Here is an 11,369-nt window from a genome sequence, read left to right as displayed (position 1 = left end):
TCTTGTAAATTTGTTTGAGTTCATTGTAGATTCTGGATATTAGCCCTTCGTCAGATATTAGCTCTTTGTCAGATATTAGCCCTTTGTCAGATAAAAACTAAAATATTTTTAAAAGAAAGCATAAGAAAAAATTGTCATGACCTTAGATTTGGTAATGGTCTCTAAGTATGGTAATAAAACTACAAGTAATTTAAAAATGAATAAATTAGACTTCATCAAATTTTTTTTTAATTAGCATTGACACTTGGTAATGATAGAACACTATCAAGAAAACCAACAAAATGACAGAAAATATTTTTAAAACATATATCTGAAAAGAAATTCATATCCAGAATATGTAAGGAACTCCTATGACTCAATAACAAAAGAAATGACTCAAAAAGTGAGCAAAAGACTTGAATAGACAGTTTTTCCAAAGAAGATATACAAATGATCAATAACCACATGAAAAAGAAAATGTTCAACATCATTAGTCATTGGGAAAATGCAAATCAAAGCCACAGTGAGATATCACCACTTCACACTCACTAGCATGACTATTATCAAACAAATAGAAAATTACAAGTGTTGGCAAGGATGTGGAGAAAATGTTATCTTTGTGAACTGCTGGTGAGAATATAAAATGATGCAGTCACTCTGGAAAATTTTGGCAATCTTCAAAATGTTCAACATAGAATAACTATTTGACCCAGCAATTCAACGTCTAGGTATATACCCAGAGTAATTGAGCAGACACTCACTCAGGTAGTTCTATACCAGTGTTCATAGCAGTGTTATTCACAGTAGTCAAAAGGTAGAAACAACTCAAGTGTCCATTAACAAATGAAGAGATAAATAATATATATACATATATTTACCATATTTTATATCTATCTATCTACCACAGGATGATATTCGGCCATAAGTAGAAATAAAAGTCTAATACATAATACAACATGATGAACCTTGAAAATATGCCAAGTAAAGTAAGTCAAATACAAAAGAACAAATATTGTATGATTCTACTTATGTGGGGTGTCTAAAATAGGCAAATTCATATAGGCAGAAAGTAGAATCGAGATTACCAAGAGCTGGGGATGGGAAGAATCAAAAGTTATTGCTTAATGGCATAGAGTTTCTGTTTGGAATAATGAAAAAAGTTGGAAGTAGTTGTGAGCATTGCACAACATTGAATGCCACTGAATTGTACAGCTAAAATAGTTAAAATGGTAAATTTTCATTATGTACATTTTACCACAATAAAAAAGTCCTATTCCCATTAAAAAATGAGAGTTAAACAAAATGTAAACCATATAAATAAACGATTATTACAAAACATTGTTTATGGCCCAGCTGACTGTTTCTTCTCTATCTGGCTGGGCTTGTTCATTCATCTGCAGTCAGCAGATGTTAGCTGGGCAGCCCTGCTCCCAGGTGTTTCTCAGCTGTCAAGTGGGGCAATCAGGAATCCGGGCCCCATGTATCTCATCTAATCCCATGTAACCACCACTAAAAGGGTAGCTCACATTTGCTTAAGTAGTGGCTTGTCAGGATTCCAAGGCAGGAAGTAGAAGTCTGCAAGGCTTCTGGGTGTGTCGGCTCAGGGTTGATGCAGTCACTTCCACCACATTCTGTTAATCAAAGACCAGTGGGGAAATAGTTTGCATCTTTTGATAAGAGAAGCTTCAAAGTCGCATTGAAAAATGGTGGGAATACGGATAAGAGTAGAGATTACTGGACAATTCTTGCAGTCTATTAGGATATAAAAGCCCTACAATAAGGGACTGAATAAATGAATAATGCAAATATTGAAATAATAAACAGTAATTGTAATTTTAAAGAATATTTAATAAAATAAGAAAACAGGAGTTTAATACTAAATATATTAGAATAAATATGTTAAAATGTATAAATATTAATGTGGAAAATATTAAACTCTATACACATATATATGTTGATGAATACATACACATTTATTTTCTATATTTTCTAAATGCTAAATTTATTCCTCTTGAAACTTAGGGAAAAGTCAGCTTTCTTAATAACATTTTAAAAAATGTGCTTGTGTTTCTTTTATCCATATATTCTTGAACTTACTTGAACTTTGGAGGCAAGATTTTAAAGATCAAAAATTTTAATATGGCCTTTGTGTTATCTCTCATATGATTGACAATAAATATTAGTAATCCAGGATTAATTTAGATCCTACTATACTGGAACTGTTCAAAAGACAATAACAATTATTTTTGGCATTCTACAATCCATCTTTATCTCAACCTTTATCTTTTAATCTAGATATCCTCTGCTGGAAGCAAAAAGCTTAAATAACTAGGGCAACAAATCAGGACCAATGTACTTTCTTGAATTTGATGGATAGTAAGAGAAGAAAAGCATTACATTCTACCTGAAGTTTATTTTTCATTGTTTACCCTTAGAGTTCACCTCCCAAATCATGCTTTATTTCATCCCTTCCATAAATATTCACTGAGTTTGCACACTCCCTGTTTTTGAAGAGTTGAGAATTCAGTGAAAAAACATCTAAGTGAACAAACATAACATTTATTGTTGTATCTGTTCATCTGCTATAATAGAAGGCAGTAGATAGTGCCATATGAAACCCTCTGACTGTAACATATTTTTCATTTTGTGGAGGAGGGAGGTGTTGGAGGTAGTTTAAGAAAGTTGACTTTTAAGAATACGGATTTGAATTTATTCTTTCACCAAATATTTATAGTCCACCTATTTTGTCCTAAGTATGCCTAAACTGTATTAGATACTTCAAGTAGAGCAGTGGAAAAAAAACTCCTCTTATTCTAGGCACATCCTACGTGAGGAAAAAAAACAGTAATGAAATAAATACATACCATTGAAAGGAGTAATAAGTGCTATGAAGAAAATAAGTGAGAAAAGAGCTGAGAGAAGATGTGGAAAGTGTTACAGGCAGAGGACAGTACCTGGGTTGATTCTGGGATGTCCTTCTGCCTGTCTTCCTTCTACCTCCAACGCTTTGAAGATGCAAGTTCTCCCTTCAGGAATCTCTCATCAGGTGACTGGACTGGAGTACTCATATTACTCTTCTTCTCTTGGAATCAAAGTTGCTTAAGACAACATGATCTTTCTCACACGTGCTTGCCAATTCACCATAAGCCCAGGGCTGCAACTTAAAAATCTACGTAGAACAAGTAGATCACACCAATGAGTGAGTTGGGTCAAGTATAAGATCTTAGAGGGGTTGTGAGGCCTAAAGTGTACTGGATAGTGTCTGTTTCCATTAAACAAATTCAAATAAAAATTTTCAGAAATCACTCATTTTGGGGACAGCAGGTTTTTATTCCTTCTGTAAGAAGTCCCTCACTCTAGGTGACTGAACGAGGCACGTGTCAAATTGTCAAGGGCAAGTGATATTTTAAATCAGCAAATATAAATTACGTTTGCTGGGGTCAGCTGAATCATTCTTCTGTTAATGCAGTTGAGAATTTAAGAGATTAGTAGTGTGTGGATACTAAGAAGTAATCTCCATTCAAATATCTCTGCAGTAAACATTTGCTTTTGTTTCCTCACTTTCCTCTTGATTTTTCTTTGGGGAAACATTTTTTCACCATTTTGGCAGCCTGGATGGGGCCACCCATCAAATTTACTCCCATCCCCAAATCCTAACTCCCACCCTACAAACGCTATTCCCAGGCAAGGAGTGGTCATAGATAGGATCCAAGTCTAAGCTAATGCTAGCACTCTTTATCTTAAGGCATTTTCCCTTTCTTTTTTTACTGTGGTAAAATATGTATAACATATTTATCATGTTAACTATTTATAAGTGTTTGATTTAGTGGTATTAAATACATTTACAGTGTTGGGTAACCATTGCCACTATCTATAATCAAAACATGTTAATCATCCCTAACATAAACCCTTTCTTCATTAAACAATAACTCTGCATTCCTGACTGTCTCCAGATCCTGGTAACCTCTATTCTACTTTGTCTCTATGAAATTTGTCTATTCCACCTTATATAAGTGGAATCATACAACATTCATCCTTTTGCATCTAGCTTATTTCACTTAGCACAATGTTTTCAGGGTTCATGCATGTTGTAACCTATATAAAAATGCTATTTCTTCTTATGGCTGAATAATATTCCATAGTGTGTATATAGCACATTTTGTTTATCTATTTATTTGTTGATGAACACTTGGGTAGTTTCTACCTTTGGGCTATTGTGAATAATGCTGCTATGAATCCTGGTGGAAAAAGCTGCAGGAATTCTGATAGAAATTGTGTCAAAACTACAGATTGCTTTGAATAATATTCACATCTTAACAATGTTAAGTCTTCCTATCCATGAATGTGGGATGTCTTTCCATTTCTTAAGATCTTCCTTAATTTCTTCCAACAATGTTTTACAGTTTTCAGTGTACAAGATTTTTCACTTCTCTGTTTAAATGTATTCCTAAATAAATCTAAATTTAAATAATCTTTAAAATTTTAAAGATTGTATTGTAAAATTAAAAATTACTTTTTAAATTTTCTTTTTGGATTGTTCATTGGTGGTATACAGAAACAAAATTATTTTGTGTGTGGGTCCTGTGCCCTGCAGCTTTGCTTACTTCTTTATTAGCTCTAGTAGCATTCTTGCGGATTATATATATATATATATATATGTGTGTGTGTGTGTGTGTGTATAACACATGTATATACATGTATACACACATACACATATATATCATCTTATCTGTGAATAGAGATAGTTTTACTTTTTACTTTCCAACATGAATACCTTTTTCTCTAAAACTTTTGAATTTTAATCTAGGAAACTGAAATTAACTAGAAATGAATTATCCCAGCAACAATGTCCTCAAAAGATAGCCCATACTGCCCAAGTTCATAAGAGTGACTGCAGGTCATGTGTTTCCAAAGGCTAGATTTTGTACTATTTTCCCTTTATTCTGTTATCATTTTTTAGCAGAATTTGTTTCTGGTGCTTCTAACTCAGGAACTCTAGATGATCTACTATCTCATCCGTTTTCTTTTGAGCAAAGAGAATGCTTTTAAAAACTAACATAAAGGAAGAGAAAATAGGGTCTTAAATTGGACTTTATGATATTAGATCCAGTTCTCTTTGTTAGTACTTCTTAGGTTCAGACTACAAAAGAATTCCCGTTAAATTGTTTAAAATGCAAATTACTAAAATTCATCACTAGAGATTTTAGTTACTACTTTTTAACGAGCAGCCTAGGTGATTTTCATGTGTATGAACCACAGACGACACTTTGAAAACCACCGTATGTTTTGCAGGACTGGCCTCTATAATGTATTTGCCAAATAATGATCTAGTTAATGATTGAGCACCTCTAGAGTTTTGCTAACTCTCTATGCCACAATGTGAATTCATGTCATTTGGGAACAACTCCTTTTAAAAGAGTAAAATAATAATAAAAAGGCTTTTATATTTTGGCTAGCAATATACTCAGTATGAAACTGAATCACTGAGTCACATAATTTTATGTTTGTAGAATTATAGAGATTTTTTCATTCTCCTTGCCTTAAAAGAAACAATTTCAAAGAATCAAATGAGCCAAATAAGACATATGTCTTCACATAAATGCTTTCTGCTGAAATCATATTTCTTTTTATTCTAAATAATTTAATTTCACATAAGCATTTGTATGTGTACTTGTAATGATCTCATTGCCATGGTAAAAAAGGTGGTATCTTGGGTGTTGCTGGGTAGAACCCCAAATCCCAAAATAGCAATCCTCTTTTTCCTAACGGAGGTTTATTTTCCTTTGGTCTTGACAACTTTTCTGTCTTGAAGAGTGAAATAATGCAGACACCTCGATGAGGTGCTAAGCTTTACCAGCTAATGACTTGGATACCAGTGACACCAGAAGCAGGGTGCTGAGAGAGAAAATGAAAGTGCTGTCACTGTGAGAACTGTGTCAGATTGTTTTACATTTCTTAATTCCCCCTTATTCCTGGTTTTCATTCCTCCATCTGTTTCTCCATAGTGATTGGTATTTAAACTCTAAAAAGAACATGTGCTGCTGGAATAAGATGTTTTATTTAAATAAAAGGATAGATATCTGATAATATGCATGTGAGATCTTCCAAGGTTATTAGCATTTTTCATGTTAATCAGAACCTTACACTCATAGGATAAAATCATCATACCATGGTAGAATTGTTGGTGTCAGCTAGATTTAAAATGGGCTTCTTGGTGAGGGGAGGGGAGGTCAACCAGAGCTTTTCTGTCTGTAAAGTGCCTCAAGTTCACTTATTTGGCTGTGCTAAATAATAATCTTACAAGGCAAAACAATTTAGTGGAATGAACACAGGCTAACGTCTGGCACACTTAACTTCAAACACTAGTTGCATAGTCTAGGTATAAAACCTGATTCCACAGACTCTATTTCTCTATTTAATTCAATTGTATTTGATTCAACATATAGTTATTGAGCACATGCACTTGAAACTGCAGAGCACTAGAGATACAATGGTGTTCGAGAGATTCCTTGCCTACCTGTACTCAGCTTAAAGTGGAGCAGGAGAACGAACAGCAAAAAAATCACACACAAAGGTCAATTATGATATATACACCTATTACACATTAGGGTTAGAATTTTGAGAATATACTACAGATTAAATAAGTAACAATGGTTACTTTCTCTCCTTTTGAGAAAGAATGTTGAGCATGACAATGACATGGCAATTTAATAACATTTTCTTTCAAGTTCTGACACATTTGTTCTGAGAAAGTATTGTACTGGAAGCCTGCAGGTACACACATGCATGTGTATTTTCTTTACTCACTATTTTCCTCATCTTTTAAACTGCACAGTTGAATTAACAAATTCTTTCTCTGGAAATGGATTCTTATTTTGAAACATAAAATTGCCTTCATGACTAGAAAATAAAATAAAGTGGAAAAATGAACACGTATATAGATTTGTAGTTAAATAGGAGGTGGGAGCTGGAAGTTTCCAGGTCTACCCACCTAGTTTCACTGACAGATAATCTCCATCAGAGAAGGCGCCTTCCTTCCCAAGATCAAGGAAAAGTAAGATGCTCAGCCATGCAAAGAACTCTGATCTTTCCATTCCCAGTCCACTGTCAATAATGTCAGTCAATGCCATGTTTTCAGAAATGCCGTCTATACCCAGAGTGAACCTCTTGAACGGGAAGCATGATTTTATCTGCGAATGCAAAAAAGAGGAATAGCTTATCTTCAGCCTAATTGCCAGATAAGGTTGATTGACTCTGAACAGACTGTTTGTCTGATAAGACTGTCAGTACTCTAGAAAGAGCACAGGTTGAGGTGTTGTCCAAGTAGAGGTACATGCAGATCCTTGAAAACAAAGCTTGACTAAACAGAAGAACCCCAACCTCTCTTTCTAATGTTAACTTGGATAAAATGCTTGCCAAAAGCAGACTGAAGCTGAAGAAGCAGCATTTTAGCACTTCCTCCCTATTTACCTGAGAACTTTCAGTGCTCAATTTTCCAAACCAGCAAACTCCCTTAATAGCCTCACATCTACTTGACGTTTGGCAGAATGAAGTCCCAGAGTGCCCAGCTGTCAAAGTAGATAAGTCTTGCTAAAGAACTGAACATCAAGATAAGGGCATTAGAAATAAAATAATTGTCTGCAATTGGTTCTAGGCCTTTCTGTTTTATACAGTCACTAACTGCAAGATCAATAAAGATAGATAGATTTGAGTAAATCTAGAGATTTTTGAGTTGTATTAAATATACACAAGTAGCATTTGGAGGCAAACAGGAAACAACAATAATACATTTTAAAAACCTGAGGAAAATAAAAAAAGACCAAATGTGAAATAGCACAGTGATTTGGAGCTCAAGCTCTTGAAACAAGCAATTGTAAGGAGAGTAAAGAATGCTTTTGCTGGCTCAGTGTTACTCACCCACAAAGCCCCATGCCCTTAGCAGAGACTATGAGGTGCCCTCTCGCCAACCCTTGTCCATCACCACTCCATTGTGCATATTGAATACTTCCTCATTGATATGCATTATGATGATCAACACCAAAAGATATGCATTATGATGATCAACACCAAGTCTCTCTTTTCTCCCCACACTTTATATGATGAGAATTTACAATCACATACAGAGTTAAAGGAGTAGTGCATTAGTCACCCTTATCCCCAGTTTCACTTTCCAAGATTTCAGTTACCCTCCGTCAACCTCAGTCTGAAAATAAACAATTTCTAAGTATTAAACTGTAAGCTATTTTGTGATGAAATCCACCCTGCCTGGGTCATGAATCATTTCTTTGTCCAGTGTATCTACTCTACATACACTACCCACCCATTAGTCATCTACATGGTCTGCTCCTGAAATACCACCATCAACTTCATCATGGGTCAGTGATCCAGGATCACCTGAAGCAAATGATCCTCCTTCTGACATATCTTCAGAAGGTCAGTGGTAGCCTAATGCCTCACTCCAATGCCTATGTCATTTATCCCACTTCATCTCATCATTAGGCATTTTATCATCTCACATCATCACAAGAATGGTGAATACAGTACAATTAGAAATTTTGAGAGACCACATTCACATGTTTTACTACAGTATACTGTTCCAATCATTCTCTTTCATTATTAGCTATTGTTGTTCATCTCTTACTGTGCCTAATTTATAATTAAACTTTATCATAGGTATGTATGCTTAGGAAAAAACATACTACATAGAGGTTTTGATACTATCCATAGTTTCAGGCATCTATGGGGGGTGGTCTTAGAATGTATTTCCCATGGATAAAGGGGATTTATTGTACAGGGATTGGTAAACTATGCCTGAGAGCCAAATCCAGCCATGTGCATTCTTAAATGCATTGTCAATGTCTGCTTTAATACTGTAAGGGCAGTGTTGACTAGCTATGGCAGAGACCTTCTGGTACACAAAGCATAAGAAGTTTGTTATTTACTATATTTTTTAGTGTAAATTACTATATATATGTAAAGTGGCTTCTACAGAAAAAGTTTGCCAACCCTTGGACTTACACAAAGAACACCTGTATACCTTCCGAGAATTGTCAAAAGTTGTTAACATTTCATCATAGTTGCTTTATCTCTCTATATTTATAAATAATAAAGGGCTTATATTCATATTTTTCTGATCCATATGAAAGTAAGTTGCTGATATCATGATCTTTTCCTTCTGAACACTTTGGATACCTCTGCTAAGAATAAAGACATTCTTCTATAAAGCTGCAATGCCTTTCGCACACAAATAAATTAACAAGTATTCATAATTTTGACTAATAGCCCACAGTCATAATTTCTCAATTATCTTTAGACTCTTTCTATATTTGTTTAAAATTTAAAATCAATATCCACTCAAAGTTTTATGCATTATCTTTCATCATTACGTTTCTTCGAATTCTTCTATCTAAAACAAATCTGCCATCTTTTATTTTTTCTTTTCTCCCCCAGTTAATATTGACTTCTGGAAGAGTCTAGGCCAATGGTTTTGTAAAAAAAACTCCACATCTCTATTAATTTATATTTATTGAATTTTCTTATGGTATACTTACCCATTTTTTCCCATCTACTTTTTCTAGAAACTGAGCATTGGTTCTAAAGGCTTGCTTAGATCCACGTTAAACATTTTTGGCAAGGTCATTTTACAGCATAAAAGGAGAAAAACAAAATCAAGTTTTCCAACTGTTGATAAGGCAAAGTTTGATCATTTGGTTAAGATGATGGTCAACCTGATGTTTGCATGGAAAGGTACACATTTCTTTTTGCTATTATCTACGAGATTTCCTGGGGTGGCAAAGGAGGTAGGGGTCTTTTGGCATCATGGAATATCTGTTTCCCCTACAACTTTTTATTTAATGATTTTTTATTTCTGTGATATTGCATTCTCCCTTCCCTTCTCCTATGCTTCTGTTTCATTTGGCTGTTTCTTTATAATAAACTAGCAAATAAAAATGAAGTAACTTCCTGAGTTATGTGAGGTGCTCTAGCAAATTATCAAAACCAAGGAGAGAATTGTGGGAACCCTAGATTTACAGCTAGTCAGTCAGAAGCAGGAGAGTCCCCAGGACTCACTCTTGGCGTTTGAAATAGGAGCAGTCTTGAGAGACTGAGGCTTTCACCTATGAGGCTTGACGCTAACTCTAGGTAGTTGGTGTAGGAACTGTATTGAATTATTGAACACCCACTTAGTGCTGAGAGGTTAGAGAAGGGTTGTTGGTGTGGAAAAACCCACACATTTGATATAAAAAGTTTTGTGAGTAGAAACAGGTCATAATTCCATTGATGATCATTGCTTAAATTAATTAAAATGACTTGTTTTTCTAATTCTGTAATCTCTTCTACATATGTAAGCTGACATTCTTCTGTATAGGACAGGTTTTTTTTGTTTTTTTTTTTACCCTTTTGTTTCTCTCTCCCTTACTCCACCTCTCTCATATTATACATTTATAAATTATAAAAAATTAAATGCACTACAATAAATTATAATCTTTTTTTTGTGCTTACATTTCCAAAAATTAGCCAGTGGGAACCCCTTCCCTCTGCTCCTGTGTGTGCTGGATGCAACTCATCAGTCTTTGAGTTCTTTCTTGATTTCTGGCAAAAAAAAAAAAAAAAAAAAAAAAATCTAGTTTACCTTGTACTTTTCCACCTCAAACCTAGAATCAGCCATTCCTGTAAGGATCTCTGGCTTTTTTTTGTTGTTGGGTGATAGTATTGAGAAATCAAGATTTAGGTAATGCAGTGTTTGTTTTGTGGGGGTGCTATTTTTTCTAGACTTTTTCAATGTACACATGCATGTATAGATATGTACATAAAATTATTAGTTTGTATTAGGTGCCAGGACTCTTCTTCTTGCAAATAAAAGGTAAATAACCCAAGAGACTTAAGGCATAATAGAAATGAGAGGTATTGACTAGCCCTATAAGAGGAAGTACGGCTTTAAGAATAGCTATGTCCAGGACCTCAAATGATGCTTTACATCTTAATGGATTTCTCAGCTCTAACTTTTTTCTCTGTATTAGATTAATTCTCAGGCACTGCCACTCATATCCCCAACAAGTGATGCCAAATTCTAAAGCAGTAGTTCCACTGTACTGTAAACTGGAAAACAAAACAGCTGGAGAACTCTGAAGTTCTGTCTCCGTTACTGGGATGAGGGTTCAGCAAAGGCCATGAGGGTTTTCCTAAACTCTCACTTGTTCCTCACAATTGATAAAACTTTGTGAAAGAAGGAGTCTGTGATTTTAATGTTCTCCAATATCACTTCATTGTACTACTGTAGTCTTATTTAATGTTTTCTTTCACATTAATTGCCCTATAGTAATTCTCTATCTCCTAGGCTCTAGGCACGTTTCCCTTATCTACAAATCTTTGAGCAGGTCTCTTAGAGG

The 11,369-nt window shown here is 34.6% G+C and overlaps 1 long non-coding RNA gene across 2 annotated transcripts in view; it reads right to left on the bottom strand.

The window, feature by feature from the left end:
• Positions 1-208: 208 nt before the first annotated feature.
• LOC105375760 (uncharacterized) overlaps positions 209-11,369 on the bottom strand; it is a 257,327-nt gene continuing 246,166 nt past the window's right edge. The window contains exons 4-6 of one of the 2 annotated variants that reach the window (XR_928653.3): positions 6,971-7,169; positions 2,934-3,148; positions 209-1,610 (exon numbers count right to left, since the gene is read on the bottom strand). This is a non-coding gene — a long non-coding RNA (uncharacterized LOC105375760). Of the gene's footprint in view, positions 1,611-2,818; positions 3,149-6,970; positions 7,170-11,369 lie in introns of those variants that run through there. The other variant, XR_007061183.1, reaches the window with a different exon arrangement.

Source organism: Homo sapiens, chromosome 8 (genome assembly GCF_000001405.40).
Source record: "Homo sapiens chromosome 8, GRCh38.p14 Primary Assembly".
NCBI lineage: Eukaryota > Metazoa > Chordata > Mammalia > Primates > Hominidae > Homo > Homo sapiens.
Note: the sequence above shows the minus strand (reverse complement) of the source record. Positions and strands in the feature narration are given on the sequence as shown.